This window comes from Homo sapiens, chromosome 19, assembly GCF_000001405.40.
Source record: "Homo sapiens chromosome 19, GRCh38.p14 Primary Assembly".
NCBI lineage: Eukaryota > Metazoa > Chordata > Mammalia > Primates > Hominidae > Homo > Homo sapiens.
Genome location: NC_000019.10, coordinates 49,307,918 through 49,325,268, shown reverse-complemented (window position 1 = coordinate 49,325,268; position 17,351 = coordinate 49,307,918). Strand labels below are relative to the sequence as shown.

At 42.2% G+C, this 17,351-nt stretch overlaps 1 protein-coding gene and 1 non-coding gene across 12 annotated transcripts in view, besides 1 other annotated feature; both read left to right on the top strand.

Moving 5' to 3' along the window:
* Positions 1–17,351, top strand: part of SLC6A16 (solute carrier family 6 member 16) — a 50,693-nt gene that overhangs the window by 15,062 nt on the left and 18,280 nt on the right. For 3 of the 11 annotated variants that reach the window (XM_047438703.1, XM_011526860.3, XM_006723168.4), the window contains 6 exons: positions 13,858–14,336; positions 14,759–14,916; positions 15,103–15,229; positions 15,443–15,618; positions 15,858–15,968; positions 16,152–16,393. In XM_047438703.1, coding sequence (XP_047294659.1) covers positions 13,858–14,336; positions 14,759–14,916; positions 15,103–15,229; positions 15,443–15,618; positions 15,858–15,968; positions 16,152–16,393 — 1,293 coding nt within the window. Of the gene's footprint in view, positions 1–77; positions 222–12,659; positions 12,757–13,840; positions 14,337–14,758; positions 14,917–15,102; positions 15,230–15,442; positions 15,619–15,857; positions 15,969–16,151; positions 16,394–17,351 lie in introns of those variants that run through there. The other 8 variants (XM_047438702.1, XM_047438701.1, XM_005258820.4 and 5 more) reach the window with 7 other exon arrangements.
* Positions 11,456–11,678: a silencer, noted in NCBI's record as "fragment chr19:49816848-49817070 (GRCh37/hg19 assembly coordinates)". NCBI's record gives its function as "represses an EF-1alpha promoter that drives an FKBP-Casp9 reporter gene in an ReSE screen in K562 erythroleukemia cells {active_cell/tissue: K562}" and the evidence as "EXISTENCE:reporter gene assay evidence [ECO:0000049][PMID:32094911]".
* On the top strand, positions 16,401–16,472 carry MIR4324 (microRNA 4324). Its single transcript, NR_036209.1, has one exon. It is a non-coding gene; the product is annotated as a microRNA 4324 (primary transcript).

Sequence of the window (17,351 nt, the reverse complement as noted above, 5' to 3'; positions counted from 1 at the left end):
CTACAGCTGTAGGGAAAGAGTGAGGGGGCGCGGCGGCGCATGCGCAGAGAATCGGCGGGAAAGGCCGCGCGCCAGGCAGATCGAGGGGTGTCGCCCAAACCGATCTGTCGACGCCTGAAGGGGCCTGAGGAGATTGCTAGGCTTCTCAGCTGGGGCTTCTTCACCCTCATTTTTGTCCGACTGGCTGGACTGAAGAACCTGGCAGAAGCCTTGGGGCTAGGGTGAGGGTCACGGCCCAGGGAGCCCTAAAATGTTCCCACATCTGGGGTGTGTGGGGCTGGGCGCCATTTTCGAGGCCCGGGCCCACTGGGCTCCACTGACGGGTGACAGGTGACTGGCTGGGAGCCTCCTGGTTGCCCTGGGCTCTGTGGAGCTGAGGGATCAAAGGGGTCCCTCCTTTACCCCCCACGTAGGACAGAGGAAACTGTCTTCGGCTCTCCTCACTCATCCAGTCCGAGTTTGAGCCAATTCCTTGACAGGATTCGGCCATCAGTCCCTGCCTTTGGGGAAAGCCATCAGTGTCAAGTGCCCGAGTGGCAGAAACCCGGGTCTAGCCCCATCACTGGTCTGTTAGGGCAGTTATTTTCTGCTTTTTGCAGAAATGGGACACCAGCTCCTTATTTTCCTTTTCTGGAGGTTATAGTTCCAGGGAAGGAGGTAATGTGAGGGGAATGGGCATTTCTGGGGGATCCTGAGCACTCCCCACAGGGCATGAGCCTAGGAGTTGCTTGGGATGACGGTGTAGGGGCACCATGGAGGGTTGCACCCATATGGGAAGAGGAGTCCGCCTGGGGCTCAAGGGGCTTTATGGATGTTGGAAGTGGCCAGCTGGCCAAAACTCAGTTCTCTCCCTTCCGTAAAGCTTGCTTTTAAGGACAACTGTTCTAGAATGTGTTTAAGAAACATGAATCTATTATTTTTTATTTATTTATTTATTTGAGATGGAGTCCCACTCTGTCACCCAGGCTGGAGTGCAGTGGCACGATCTCAGCTCACTGCAACCTCTGCTTCCCAGGTTCAAGCGATTCTCCTGCCTCAGCCTCCCAAGTAGCTGGGACTATAGGCGTGCGCCACCACCCCCAGCTAATTTTTTGTATTTTTAGTAGAAACGGGGTTTCACTGTGTTGGCCTGGCTGGTCTCGAGCTCCTGACCTCAGCCGATCCACCCGCCTCAGCTTCCTAAAGTGCTGAGATTACAGGTGTGAACCCCCGTGCCCAGCCTATTATTATTATTTTTAAGAGACAGGGTCTCTCTCTGTCTCCCAGGCTGGAGTCCAGTGGCATGATCACCTCTCACTACAGCCTCGAACTTCTGGGCTCAAGCAATCCTTCCACCTCAGCCTTTCAAAGAGCTGGGATTACAGGCTGAGCCACTGGAGGCTTGGTTTTCACTTATTTTGGGTGTATACCCAGAAGTGGAATTGCTGGATCATATGGTAATTCTATTTTTAAGTTTTTGAGGAACCACCATAGTGTTTTCCATGGTGGTTGCACCATTTTACATTCTGACCAGCAAGGCACAAGGATTCCAATTTCTCCACATCCTCACCAACACTTCTTATTTTCTGCCTTTTTATATTAGCCATCCTAATGGATGCGAGGTATTATCTCATTGTAGTTTTCATTTGCATTTCCTTAATGATTAGTGACGTTGAACATCTTTTCATGTACTTCTTGGAGATTGGTATATCTTCCTTGGAGAAATGTCTATTTAAGTCTTTTGCCCATTTTTGAATTGTGTTGTTTGTTTCTTTGTTGTTGAGTTTTACGAGTTCTCTATATATTCTGAATATTAATCTCTTATTATACATATGATTTTCAGATATTTCCTCCCATTCTGTGGGTTATCTTTTCACCCCTTTGATAGTGTCTCTTGATGCACAAATTTAAAACATTTTAATGAAATCCTGTTTGTTTCTTCTTTTGTTGCTTTTGCCTTTGGTATCATATCCAAGAATTCATTGCAGATCCACTATCATGAAGCTTTTGTCGTATGTTTTATTCTAAGAATTTTATAATTTTAAGTGTTACATTTAGGTCTTTGATTTATTTTGTGTATTTGTATGTGGTGTTAGGTAAGAGTCCATCTTTACTCTTTTGCCTGTACATAATCCAGTTTTCCCAGCACCATTTGTTGAAAAGACTGTCCTTTACTCATTGAGTAGTCTTGGCACCCTTGTAAAAAATCATTTTTCCATACATTGTTTCTGGGCCCTCTATTCTGTTCCCTTGGTCTGTATCTTTATGTGAGTAACACACTATTTTGATTACTATAGCTTTGTAATATGTTTTGAAATCAGGAAATGTGAGTACACCAGCGTTTTTCTTCTTTTTCAAGATTATTTTGGCTGTTCAGGGTCCCTTGAGATTTCATGTTAGTTTTAGGACGTGTTTTTCTATTTCTGCAAAAAAAAAAAAAAAAAAAAAAAAAAAAAAAAAAAAAAAAAAAAAGCTACTAATTCTGTAGATTGCTTTGGGTAATACTGACATCTTAACAGTGTTGTCTTCCAACCCATGAACATGGGATATTTTTCCATTTATTTATGTCTCCTTTAATTTTTTTCAGCAATGTTTTGTAGTTTTCTTTGTACATGTCTTTCACCTTCTTGGTTAATTCTTTTTTTTTTTTTTTTTGAGATGGAGTTTCACTCTTGTTGCCCAGGTTGGAGTGCAATGGTGCAATCTCGGCTCACTGCAACCTCTGCCTCCCAGGTTCAAGTGATTCTCCTGCCTCAGCCTCCTGAGTAGCTGGGATTACAGGCATGTGCCACCATGCCTGGGTAACTTGGTAATGGAAACGGGTTTTCTCCATGTTCGTCAGGCTGGTCTCGAACTCCTGACCTCAGGTGATCTGCCCACTTTGGCCTCCCAAAGTGCTGGGATTACAGGCTTGAGCCACCGTGCCCAGCCAAGTTAATTCTTAAGTATTTTATTCTTTCTGATGCTATTACAAATGGAATTGTTTTCATAATTTTCTTTTCAGATTGTTCATTGTTAGTGTATAAAAATGCAACTGAGTTTTGATTGTTGACTTTGTATCCTGCTACTTTGCTGAATTCATTTATTAGCTCAAAAATTTTTTTGGTGAAAATTTTAGGATTTTCTACGTATAAGATCATATAATCTTTCTAGTTTGGTTTCCTTTTATTTATTTATATTTTTGCCTAATTTCTCTGGCTAGGACTTCCAGTACTATGTTGAATAAAAGTGGCAAAATTAGACATTCTACGCTTGTTTCTAATCTTAGAGGAAAAGCTTACAGTCTTTTATCATTAAGTATGACATTTGCTGTGAGTTTTTCGTATATGGCTATTATGTTGGGATATTTTCCTTTTTTTTTTTTTGCTGAGACATGGTGTCACTTTGTGACCCAGGCTGGAGTGTAGTGGTGTCATCATGGCTCACTGTAGCGTTGACCTCCTGGGCTGAAGTGATTCTCCCATCTCAGCCTCATGAGTAGCTAGGACTACAGAAGTACATCAACACACCCAGGTAATTAAAAATTTTGTTTGTTTGTTTGTTTGTTTGTTTTTGAGATGGAGTCTTGCTCTGTCACCCAGGCTGGAGTGCAGTGGTATGATCTTGGCTCACTGCAACCTCTGCCTCCCAGGTTCAAGCGATTCTCCAGCCTTAGCCTCCCAAGTAGCTGGGACTACAGGTGCACACCACCACATCTGACTAATTTTTGTATTTTTAGTAGAGATCAGGTTTCACCATGTTAGCCAGGCTGGTCTTGAACTCCTGACCTCAGGTGATCCACCCGCCTTGGCCTCCCAAAGTGCTGGGATTACAGATGTGAGCCACTGCACCTGGCCCCAGGCTGGTCTTGAACTCCTGGGTTCAAGTGGTCATCAGGCCTCCCAAAGTGTTGGGATTACAGGCATGAGTCACCATGCCCAGCCGTATTTTCCTTTAACTCCTAGATTGTTGAGTTTTTTTTTTTTTTTTTATCATGAAAGGGTATTGAGTTTTGTCAAATGTTTTTTCTGCATCAGTTGAGAGAATCATTATTTTTCTTTCATTTTGTTAATGTGGTATATTATATTGATTGATTTTTGTATGCAGAACCATCCTTGCATTCCAGGAATAAATCCCACTTGGTCATGGTATATAATCCTTTTAATATGCTGCTGAATTAGGTTTGGTAGTATTTTTTTTGAGGATTTTTGCATCAAAGTTCATAATGAATATAGGTCTGTAGTGTTCTTTTCTTATAATGTCTTTGTATGGCTCTGGTATTAGGGCAATGTTGGCCTTATAGGATGAATGAGGAAGTGTTCCCTCCTCTCCAATTTTTTGGAAAAGTTTGAGAAGGATTGATATTAATTCATTAAAGGTTTAGTAGAATTCACCCATGAAGCCATCAGGTCCAGAGCTTTTCTTTGTTGAGAGATTTTTGATTACCAATTCAATCTCCTTACTAGTTATAGATCTATTCAGATTTTCTGTTTGTGATTTAGTCTTAGTAGATTTGTATTTCTAGGAATTTGTCCATTTAATCTAGGTTATCCAGTTTATTGGTGTACAGTTGTTCATAAGTTCATAGTACTCTCTTATAATCCTTCTATTTCTGTAGAATTGGTAATAATGTCCCCATTTTCATTTCTGGTTTTAATCATTTGAGTCTTCTCTTTTTTTCTTAGTACATCTAGTTAAAGGTTTGTCAATTTTGTTGATATTTTTAAAGAAACAACTTTTGGCTTCTCTATTGTTTTTCTATTCTCTATTCATTTCTGCTTTAATTTTTATTATTTTCTTCTGCTAGCTTTGGGTTTAGTTTGCTTTTCTAGTTTCTTAAGTTTTAGAGTTAGGTTATTGATTCAAGATCTGGTTTTTTTTTGTTTGTTTGTTTGTTTGTTTTTAGAGGGAGTCTTGCTCTGTTGCCCAGGCTGGAGTGCAGTGGTGTGATCTCGGCTCACTGCAACCTCCGCCTCCTAGGTTCAAGCGATTCTCCTGCCTCAGCCTCCTGAGTAGCTGGGATTACAGGCGCCCACCACCATGCCTAGCTAATTTTTGTATTTTAATAGAGATGGGGTTTCACTATGTAGGTCAAGCTGGTCTTGAACTCCTGACCTCAAATGATCCACCCACCTCAGCCTCCCAAAGTGCTGGGATTACAGGCGTGAGCCACTGCATCCGGCCTCTTTTTTGTTTTTTAATGTAACCATTGATAGTTATAAATTTCCCCCTTGGCATTGCTTTTGTTGCCTCCCATAAATTTTAGTATGTGTGTTTTCGTTTTCATTTATCTGTAAGTATTTTCTAACTCCCCTTGTAGTTTATTCTTTGATCCATTGGTTGTTTAAGAGTGTGTTGTTTAATTTCTACAAATTTGTAAAATTTTCAATTTTACTTTTGTGATTCATTTCTAACTTCATCCTATTGTGGCTGGAGAAGATATTTTGTATGATATTTATCATTCTAATTCTATTGAGAAAAAAAGGAAATTTGTGGCCTACAAATTTGTGGTCTCTCCTGGAAAATGTCCCATGTGCACTTGAGAAGAATGTGTATTCTGCTGCTGTTGGCTAGAGTGTTCTGAATACATCTGTTAGATCTGGTTGGTTTATTGTGTTAAGTCCTCTATTTCCTTGCTTATCTTCTGTCTGCTGCTTCTGTCCATTGTTCGTAGTGGGGTATTAAAGTCTCCAGTTATTATTGTAGAACTGTCCTTTTATCCTTTCAATTATGTGAGTCTTTTCTTGATATATATATGTATATGTATATATCGTATAGGTATATGTATATACATATACACATATACACATATATGTATAAGTATATGTATATACATATACACATATACACATATGTATATGTATATGTATTTATATGTATATACAAATATATATATATACACACACACATATATGAAGGAATTAGGGAGGAGTAAAGAAGAGTACTTGGTCAACATACAGCAGGTTCATCTCATTGTACAAATGTAAGTTTCTCAAGCTTCAGTTCTATGGGCATCTGGCTTGTTGGAAAATTGGCCTGGTTTCATTTTCCCATCCTCCCTTTATTTTGGACCTCCAGTTACACATTTTAGGCCATTTGATATTGTCTCACAGTCACTAATGCTCTGGTAATTGTTTTCAGTCTTTTTTTTTTCTTTGTGCTTCATTTTGGATTGTTTCTATTGCTATATCTTTAAGTTCACTGATTTATTAAAATCTGCCAGTAATCTTCAGTGAAATTTTCATTTCAGGTGTTGTATCATCTCTAGAAGTTCTATTTGATGTTTAAAATATATCATGGCTAGGCATGGAGGCTCATGCCTGTAATCCCAGCACTTTGGGAGGCCATGGTAGCTGGATCACATGAGATCAGGAGTTCGAGACCAGCCTGGCCAACATGGCAAAACCCTGTCTCTACTAAAAAAAAAAAAAAAAAAAAAAAATAGCCAGTTGTGGTGGTGCACACCTGTAATTCCAGCTACTTGGGAGGCTGAGGAAGGAGAATTGCTTGAAACTTGGAGGCAGAGGCTGCAGTGAGCTGAGATCAGTGTGGGCAACAGAGTGAGACTCTGTCTCAAAAGAGAAAATATCTATCTGTCTGTCTAGCTAGCTAGCTATCTAGCTATCTTATATTCCTCATTCTGTTCATGTTTTCCTTTTAAGTCCTTGACCATATTAAGCATATTTGTAACAGCTATTTTAGTGTTATGGTGTGTTAATTCCATTAGTCTATCATTTCTGTTTTTGTTGTCTGATTATGGGTCACTTTTCCTGCTTTTTTGCATGTCTAGTAATTTTTGACTAGATGGTTGACATTATGAATTTTTTGTTGTTCAGTGCTAGGTTTGTCTGTATTATCTTAAGGAATGTTGGCCTTTGTTGTGACAGGCAGTTAAGTTACTTGAAGATCAGTTTTGGCTGTTTAAGGGTTGCTTTTAAGAATTTTTTTTTTTCAGGTCTAAAGTAGTCCTACTACTAGAACTAGAGCTAGTTTATGCCACTTTAAATGTTCCAAGTATTCAGTAAAGTCTCTCCACACTGGCTGATGGAAACTTGAGTAATTCTTGTTCTTCTCCAAGTTCTAGGAATTGTTTTACCTGTAGTTCCCCAGTACTTTTCTTTCCTTGGAATTTATTCTTTGCCTGTTCTTATGAGGTTTCATACTATACATGTGCAGGTTGATATTTAGCTAATGGCTCGAAGGTACTTTATCCAGATTCCTAGAGCTCTTTCTCTGTGGCTCCCTTCTGTTGAGTACTTAGCCCAGCTAATTCTAGTCACCTAAGCCTTCCTGAACTGACTTTTGCCTCCTCAAGTGCTGAGACTGCCAGGCTCTGTTTGTATTCTTCCTCCTGTGCCAAAGTTTGGAAATTAGCAGAAAAATGGGGCAATCGTGCAATTAGTTACCTTGTTTTCTGGCCTTTTTTTAGAGATTGCAATGCTGTACTGCCTTTGTTTAATATGTGAAAATAGTTGTTTTAATTATTTGTACAGTTTTTTTTTTTTGAGACGGAGTCTCGCTGTGTTGCCCTGGCTGGAGTGCAGTGGTGCGATCTCTGCTCACTGCAAGCCCCACCTCCTGGGTTCACGCCATTCTCCTGCCACAGCCTCCCGAGTAGCTGGGACTACAGGCGCCCGCCACCATGCCCGGCTAATTTTTTGTATTTTTAGTAGAGATGGGGTTTCACCATGTTAGCCAGGATGGTCTTGATCTCCTGACCTCGTGGTCCGCCCGCCTCGGCCTCCTAAAGTGCTAGGATTACAGGCGTGAGCCACGGCGCCTGGCCTATTTGTACAGTTTTGTAGTGTTTTTGTGGAGGTAACTCCAGACACTGTTTTGCTTTCATGGTCAAAAGTGGAAATTTCTTCTCCCCATTTTTATCTGGATCCTGTATATCCTTCATTTCTATGTTTTCTTAAAATTATCTTTTAATTAATTAATTTTATTTTATTATTATTGTTATTATTTTTGAGATAGGGTCTTACTCTGTTGCCCAAGCTGGAGTGCAGTGGTGCAATCTTGGCTCACTGCAACCTCCCCCTCCTGGATTCAAGTAATTATCTCACCTCAGCCTTCCGAGTAGCTGGGGCTACAGGTGTGTCCCACCATGCCTGGCTAATTTTTGTATTTTTTGGTAGAGATGGGGTTTCACCATATTGGCCAGGCTTGTCTTAAACTCCTGACTTCAAGTGATCCTCCTGCCTTGGCTTCTCAAAGTGCTGGGATTACGGGCATGAACCACTGCACCTGGCCTATTTTATTTTATTTTTTTAGAGAATGAGGTCCCACTCTGTTGCTCAGGCTGGAGTTCAGTGGTGTGATCATAGCCCACTGCAACCTTGAACTCCTGGGCTCAAGCGATCCTCTCCACTTAGCCTCCCAAATAGCTGGGACCACTGGCGTGTCCCACTATGCCTGGCTAATTTTAATTTTAATTTTTTTTTTTTTTTTTTGGTAGAGATGGGTTTTCACTGCATTGTCAAGGCTTATCTTGAATTCCTGGCCTCAAGTGATCCTCCTGCCTTGGCCTCCCAAAGTACTAGGATTACAGGCATGAGCCACTGTGTCTGGCCTATCCTTCATCATTCTTGTTCTTGTATTGCTCAATTTGGCTTTACTCACAGGAATTTCTCCTCATTGTGGCCTCTGGGTTGGAAAAGATCCCTGGTTGGTTAATTTTAAGAGTTCATAGAATCTAGTCTGCCCTGGTCCCTTCAGTTTCTATTGTTGACTCCATGCACTCAACTGTTATTGGATTAGGCAAGACATCTTCTAGTTTTAGCTGCTGTTCTCTAATAGCCTTCCCATGATTTCTGGTGAGTACCTGTTGATTATTTTGAGAGACTGGTTTCCCTGTCCCCCATCCCCAGGTCTGTCAGATGCTCTCTTGCTTCCTTTGTTTCCTCCCACACAGATGCTGATTCTATACAGGTCTGTGGCTCTTGTGGTTTGTTCTCATAGACTTGTCTTTTGGGGTTTATCTTGATATTGTAAATATTATCCATGGATTTTGGGCTTGCAATCTAGTAGAACTACTTGTTTTCATGTGAGTATTTGGGAAGATTTTAAAACAATGTTGCTGTTATTGCCATTACCTTCCCAGGATTTTACTCTATATTTAAAAAATTATTTTATAAGTGGCATTATTATTTTAAAATTTTATTTTCTAATTATGTATTGCAAGCATAGACATATAAATAATTTTCATTTATTGCTGTTTGCATCCAACAATCTTGCTAAATTATCTTATTAATTTAAATAATTTATCTGTAGTATTCTGGATCTTCCACATAGATATATCATCTGTGAATAGTGAGTTTTGTTTAATCTTTGTCTTTTATTCCCCTTGCTTTCCTGTGTTGTCTAAAATATTTAATGCAATGGGAAGGAAGTGCTGATAGCTGGTTTCATTGATTGTTCTTGATTTCAAAAGGCAAGCTTTCTTCACTTCATTATTAAATATGTGCCTATGTTTAAGCATATGTTCACTATTAAGTATAATCTTTTTTTTTTGAGAGACACCATTTATCAGGTTAGGGAAATTATTCCTGGTTTGCTAAAAGTTTTTCTCCGTAAATCATCATTGTATTGTATGTTTTTCCTATATCTCTTGAGATGATAATATTTTTCTTCTTTATTATATCAATGTGACTAATTATATTGATTTTCTCTAGTGGTATGCTTTGAATCATCTCTACTGAGTTTTTTGCTTTGTAGTTACCACGAAGCTTACATAAAACATCTCCTGCCTCAGCCTCCCAAAGGGCTGGGATTACAGGCATGAGCCACCATGACCAGCCCCAAAGGCTGGATTTTTGTACCTAATTTTTTCTTCAGCCTTTTCTTCCCTGCATGATTTTCTGCTTCTCTCTTAATGTTATGGAAGCATCATTTGTCTCAGGGAGACGCCCATCAACCCACCAATAACTCCAATAAATCCAATAACAGAGGAGTGGCCCACCTGCTGTTGCATTCTCTGGCATACAGCTTCTGGAAGCTGTTGGTTCACTGGAGCAGAAGGTCTTTGGCAAGTGATTGTTTTTATTTCCCACAAGTTGCTGGGAAAGTATTTACTTACTTCCTGAAACACTGAACCACTTCATCAGGAAAAAGAGATGTGAACTGACTCCTCAGTGATTACAGTTTGGTCCTGTTTCTTGTTTATGTAGCAGAAGTTTCTCTGTTTTTGACATGAGGATGGAACCTATTTTTCAGAAATGATGCAGATATCCCCATATTTGTAATATTTTAAAATCATTGGTTTTTTTTTTTGTTGGGTAGGGGGAGATTGTGGGTAAGTTTGGAGATTGGTGTTCATGTGGCTATCTTAGAAGAAACTTCCTTTTGTTTTGATGGTGAATTGTAGGAGTGGCAGGTGCTTGGAAGTTTAAAAAATTTAACAAAATTTTGACATAATTTCAGACTTACAACACTTCCATCTTTCCTTGTCTTTATTGACTGTGACATTTTTACTGAGCACAGGCCAGCTATTTTACAGAATGTACTTCAATTTAGATTTGTTTTCTGGTGTTTCCTCACGATTGGAGTTTTGTTACATGTTTTTGGCAGGAATCCCACAGAAATGATGTTGTGCTCTTAATGCATTGTATCAGGAGTTATATGATATCAGGTGACTATTATTGGTTTAGGTAGTGTGTAATACTCTAAAGATACTAGTTTCTTGGGTTTTTTTGGGGGGAATATCTTGTGGGGAGATACAGTAATACTATGCAATTATCCTGTCCCCATCAAATTTTCATCATCTTGTTTTAGCAACCATTGATGATTCTTGCTTGTGTCAGTTATTACTCTGGTAATTTCCAAACAATGATTTGTTAAAAAGACATATTTATTGAGGGATGATTGACAAGTAAAAAACTGTACATATTTCATGTGTACAACTTGATTAGTTTATGATAAGCAGTGACCTTCTAATTCATCGTTCCTTGTACATTTATTAGTTTGTATTCTACTATAAGGAAGAGGTTTTCCTTTTCCTGAGTTGTATCCCTGTGGATTCATGGATTCTTGTTTTAGTCTGTTGGTTCTCATCTGTTACTATTCTTTATTTTGATGTTCTGATTTGTCCAGATTTCGCTGATGAGAGCTTCTTCAATTGGATTTCTTTGTCCATTATGATCTTTTTATTTTCACTTATCAATACATATTTTTTCTTGATTATGATTATGATTATGATTATGATTTTTTTTTTTTTGAGACGGAGTCTCACTCTGTTGCCCAGGCTGGAGTGTAGTGGCGTGATCTCAGCTCACTGCAAACTCCGCTTCCCAGGTTCACGCCATTCTCCTGCTTCAGCCTCCTGAGTAGCTGGGACTACAGGCGCCCGCCACTGTGCCTGGCTAATTTTTTGTACTTTTAGTAGAGATGGGGTTTCACCGTGTTAGCCAGGATGGTCTCGATCTCCTGACCTCAGGTGATCCACCCACCTCGGCCTCCCAAAGTGTTGGGATTACAGGCGTGAGCCACTGTGCCCGGCTGATTATTATTATTTTTTTGAGACAGAGTCTTACTCTGTCACCTAGGCTGGAGTACAGTGGTATGATCTTGGCTTACTGTAACCTCTGCCTCCCGATTCAAGTGATTCTCCTAAGTCAGCCTCCCTAGTAACTAGGATTACAGGTGCCTGCCACCATGTCCGGCTATTTTTTTTTTTTTTTTTTTTTTGCATTTTTAGTAGAGATAGGGTTTTGCCATGTTGGCCAGGCTGGTCTCAAACTCCTGACCTCAAGTGATCCGCCTGCCTTGGCCTCCCAAAGTACTGGGATTACAGGCATGAATCACCATGCCTGGCCGTATTTTTATTGATTATTAAAGTAATACAGGTGAGTGGGGAATGGTGGCTTGTGCCTGTAATGCCACCTACTCTGGAGGCTGAGACCGGAGACTCACTTGAGCACAGGAGTTCGAGGCCAGCCTGAGCATCATAGTGAGACTCCCATCTTGAAAAAAACTTTTAAAAATTAGCTGAGTATGGTGGCACATGCCTATAGTCCTAGGTACTTTGGAGGATAAGGTGAGAGGATCCTTTGAACCCAGGAGTTCAAGGCTGCAGTGAACTGTGGATCATGCCACTGCATTCCAGCCTGGGTGACAGAGTGAGAACCTGTGTCTGAAAAAAAAGTAATACAAGATTTTAAAAAATTTAATGTAAAAGCAGGGATAAGGATATAAACATATTTGTAGCCATCATCGTCTTTTTTTTTTTTTTTTTTTTTTTGAGACAGGGTTGCCCAGGCTGGAGTGCAGTCGTGCGATCTCGGCTCATTGCAACCTCCGCCTCCTGTGTTCAAACGATCCTCCTGCCTCAGCCTCCTGAGTAGCTCAGATTACAGGCGTGAGCCACTGCGCCTGGCCTGATCATCTTCTGTATATTGATGTATTTCCTTTCAGCCTTTCATTGCATTTTTAAATGTAGTAGAGATAGAACTAAAGATAGAAATTTGTATCTTAGTCTTATGTTTTTAACCTGTAATTGAATTATAAGCATTTTCTTGTGTAACAAAGAGCTCTTTGGAAGCTGTGTCTCACAAGCAGTTATCCATGTCACCCAAATGTGCCAGTGCTGCCTTGAAGCCCATCTACTGCCTCTGCTTTTGGAAAGCATGCTCCTTCCCCCACTGAAAGAAAACTCCAGTTTCCCCTCTCTCTTCCTCTCTTTCATGTAACTTTTTTTTTTTCAGCACACTCCTTGCCTTTTCTCTTGTATTTGAAGAGCCAACAGAAGTTCAGAGTGGCGGGAACTTGGAGAATAAGGAGGAGAATAGCCCTAGATGTGAGGTAGAACACCATCCTTTTGCTGGAGATAGAGCAGTAGGCAGAGATGGACAATGAATAAATTAACAATCAATAGATAATAAAGTCAGGAGATGAGAAATGCCATGAAGTAAAGAGAGTTGTGGGTAGGTAGCTGCTATTTTAGATAGGTGGACAGGGAAGGCATCTCTGGTGAGGCTATATTTGAGCAGAGATCTGAGTGTTTTACAGATTAGAAAGCTCAGAAAGGTAAAGTAACTTTTCTAAGGTTACAAGGCAGATTTAGTATTAAATTAGTTTAGTTTAGTTTAGTTTTGTTTTTAAATTCAGAAGCCCTCTGTAAATAGTACTTCAGTGTTCTTAGAAATCCTTTTATTTCAGGCTGGGTGCAGTGGCTCACACCTGTAATTCCAGCACTTTGGGAGGCTGAGGTGGGCGGATCACTTGAGGTCAGGAGTTCAAGACCAACCTGGCTCTACTAAAAATACAAAAATTAGTCAGGTGTGGTAGTGGGCGCCTGTAATCCCAGCTACTTGGGAGGCTGAGTCAGGAGAATCGCTTGAACCCAGTAGCTGGAAAAAAAAAAAAGAAATCCTTTGATTTCAGGGATTCCTGACTCTTGGGTATGTCTGTCTCTATCCCTATCCTGTACAAGAAAACATTTCTTTTTTTTTTTTCTTTTTTTTTTGAGATGGAGCCTTACTCTGTCTCCCAAGCTGGAGTGCAGTGGCCTGATCTCGGCTCACTGCAACCTACGCCTCCTGGGTTCAAGCGATTCTCCTGCCTCAGCCTCCCGAGTAGCTGGGATTACAGGTGCCTGCCACTATACACAGCTAATTTTTGTATTTTTAGTAGAGACGGGGTTTCACCATGTTGGCCGGGCTGGTCTCGAACTCCTGACCTCAGGTGATCCATCTTCCTCGGCCTCCCAAAGTGCTGGGATTACAGCGTGAGCCACCACGTGAAAACATTTCTAAGAAGTGAAACTTATGCAAGAGATTTTTTTGTGCTTTAAATGTCAGTGGTGGTATAAAATTTGCTTTAAGGAGATGTTGAGGATTGTTTTGTAACTCAGTAGTTACTTGACTCTAAAATCTAAAATCTACAGATTTTGGTGTCCTTCAGGTCTCCTCAGGAAGATGAACCCTCCCTTGCAGAAGCGGGAGCTGCCCCAGAGAGTCTGTGTGAGATGAAGACAGAGGCCCAGCCTTCGACATCCTTGCTGGCAAACACCTCATGGACTGGCACAGTGATTTCTGACAGTGTCCCAGGAAGTCAAACGTGGGAAGACAAGGGTTCATTGACCCGGTCTGCAACATCTTGGACCTCAGAGGCCCAAGTTTCAGCAGCCCGGGTTGCAGAGGCTCAGGCCAGGACCAGTCAGCCCAAGCAAATTTCTGTATTGGAGGCGTTAACTGCCTCAGCCCTGAACCAGAAACCCACGCATGAGAAGGTGCAGATGACAGAGAAGAAAGAGAGTGAGGTCCTCCTTGCCCGTCCGTTCTGGTCCAGCAAAACTGAGTATATTCTGGCTCAGGTGGGCTTCTCTATGAAGCCATCTTGTCTCTGGCGCTTTGCCTACCTGTGGCTTAACAGTGGAGGCTGTAAGTCTGGGGACCAGGAAACCTGGGTCCACAAGGGGCAATCAGGACAGAGTCCTGTCCAGGCTTTAACCATGAATGTTTCTGAGATATGTAGAGACTAAAGACCTGGTGCTCTGAGCAGGATAGGAGCCAGGTCCCTGGACACTTAGGATCATGAGAGGTTCAGGGTATCTGAACATGGGGATGGCAAAGCTGGAGGCCTGGGCCCAAGATGGGCTGGAAACTAGGTACTTGGGTCTTCCAGGATTTGGGGGCCAGAGGACTGGACACTTGGGACCGTGAGGGATGTAGACATGGGTGAGCCCTGATGCCTGTGGCCCTGGAAGAGGTCGCTGGTAGGGAGAATGTTTTCCTGGGCTCCTGGAGTCCAGGCACTGAAAGGCCACATGGTTCTCAGAGTCCCTTCTGAATCTTCTTCACAGGCAGTTTCGCTGCCATCTACATCTTCATGCTGTTCCTGGTCGGGGTTCCTCTTCTCTTCCTGGAGATGGCAGCTGGTCAGAGCATGCGTCAGGGTGGCATGGGTGTATGGAAGATCATTGCCCCCTGGATTGGTGGTGTGGGGTATTCTAGCTTCATGGTGAGGAGCCCATGGCTGCCCAGGCCTGACTTTTACACCCCACCGCCATCCCAACCCTCCTCCTGAAATGCGCCCTGTGAATACCTCCATGGGTCAGATCCCTTTGGTTCCCCAATCCTCTGTCAAATCCCCTCCCTTTTCCTGTCCCTGCTCTTCCTCCCCAGCCATATCCTCCTTGGCCCCCAGGTGTGCTTCATCCTCGGCCTGTACTTCAATGTGGTCAATTCCTGGATCATCTTCTACATGAGCCAGTCCTTCCAGTTTCCCGTTCCATGGGAGAAATGTCCCTTAACGATGAACTCTAGTGGCTTTGGTGAGGAGGAAGTGAAAGAAGAGGAGAAGGGAAAAATGGAGAAGTAGAAGTAGAAGGGAATTTGGAATAGGAGAGAGTGGGGAGGGACAAGGAAGAGGAAGAAGAAGGAAAAAGAAATGGGAGAGGGAAAGAGAAAAGGGAGGTGGGGGAGGGGATAAGGAAGAAGAGGGGGTACCTTGTCTAGCAGGCATGTCTAAAGCCAGGTCCCCCCAGATCCTGAATGTGAACGGACAACACCCTCCATATACTTCTGGTACCAGCAGGCCTTGAAGGCCTCAGACAGAATCGAGGATGGCGGGTCACCAGTCTACAGTCTGGTCCTGCCCTTCTTTCTTTGCTGGTGTCTTGTTGGTGCTTTCATGATCAATGGGCTCAAGTCCACTGGGAAGGTGAGCCACCAGTATTGGATTCCTTGAAATTCTCAGATGCTTTAGCCCTTACCTCAATTTGTTACTTGTTGATCTCCTAATCTCTTACTCCTTTGGCTTTTACTCCCCTAGCCCCTGACTCTTGCTGAAGGCTTTCTTCTAACTCCTACTCATTTCTGACTCAGAACTTTTGATCCCTCCTAACTGTTGGTTGACCCCTACTGGTACACGGTTGCTGATATGTCCCACTCTCGATTCAGGTAATCTATGTCTTGGTACTGCTCCCCTGTTTCATCATTGTCGGTTTCTTCATCCGGACTCTACTCCTGGAAGGGGCAAAATTTGGCCTTCAACAGTTGGTGGTTGCCAAGGTGAAATCTATCTCCTCACTCCCCCGTCAGGCCTTGTAGGGCACCACAGCTGCCTATTCTTAGAGCTTCCTTTCCCCATTCTTTACTTTTGTATCTCCCTCTCTCCTCCCTGCAACATTTCTATTATAGTTGTCCTCTGCTTCTTCTTTTACAACCCCCTTATGCTTGTCTTCTCTCTTTTAGATATCGGATGTGTACAATATGAGTGTGTGGTCTCTAGCAGGGGGTCAAGTTTTGTCTAACACAGGCATAGGCCTTGGCTCCGTTGCCTCCTTAGCCTCCTACATGCCCCAGTCCAACAACTGTCTCAGTGATGCCTTTCTCGTGTCTGTGATAAACCTGCTCACTTTGTTGGTTTTCACATCTTTCAACTTCTGTGTCCTGGGCTTCTGGGCGACAGTCATCACACATCGCTGCTGTGAGAGGTAAGGCCGGCCCCTTTGTTAAGGGTCTCAGCTCCAGGGAACTTTAAAACCCTGAGACCCTAACCTTAAAGGTGCTGCAAAGACCCATGTTCACACATTTCAACCTTGGGTGCACTTGCAAGCCCTCTACCTTCCCCATAGCTAAAAATGGAGACAATAGAATCTCCTATCATATATTATCCTTCTCAGAGCCTTTTGTCACCCTAGAAATAAATCTTCAAACTCAGAGATTGCCAGCTATCCACCTCAGAGTGGATATGCTAACAGGGATGTACTAAAAATTGCAAACATTGAAGGCTTCTCTAATCCCAGATACACAACAAAATACCATCCAAGACCATACCACACAGAGACTTCCAAGGCCATCCTTGGAAAAATGGAGAAGTAGAAGGCCCCCATTATTTTATTTTATTTTTATTTTTTGAGATGGAGTCTCGCTCTTTCACCCAGGCTGGAGTGCAGTGGCGCGAACTTGGCTCACTGCAAGCTCTGCCTCCTGGGTTCAAGCCATTCTCCTGCCTCAGCCTCCTGAGTAGCTGGGACTACAGGTGCCCATCACCAGGCCCGGCTAATTTTTTTGTATTTTTAGTAAAGACAGGGTTTCACCATGTTAGCCAGGATGGTCTCGATCTCCCGACCTCATAATCCGCCCGCCTCAGCCTCCCAAAGTGCTGCGATTACAGGCGTGAGCCACCGCGCCCTAAGGCCCCCATTCTTAACTGTTAACTCCTGAATTGGGGATTTCTGTCAATCTAGCAGAAACTCCAAAAGGATTCTCTGTACTAGAACCTTGATTGTCTGATCACCCCTGTTTCTTATTTTTCTTATTTTTAGGCATTAATTCCAAAAACATCCATCAGACAGACATTTAGGAAGTGTTCTTTCTATACAACAGAGACTTGGACAGGTGAATCAGACCACAGTCCTTGTTTCATTAAGTTTTCAATTTTGGAGGGGG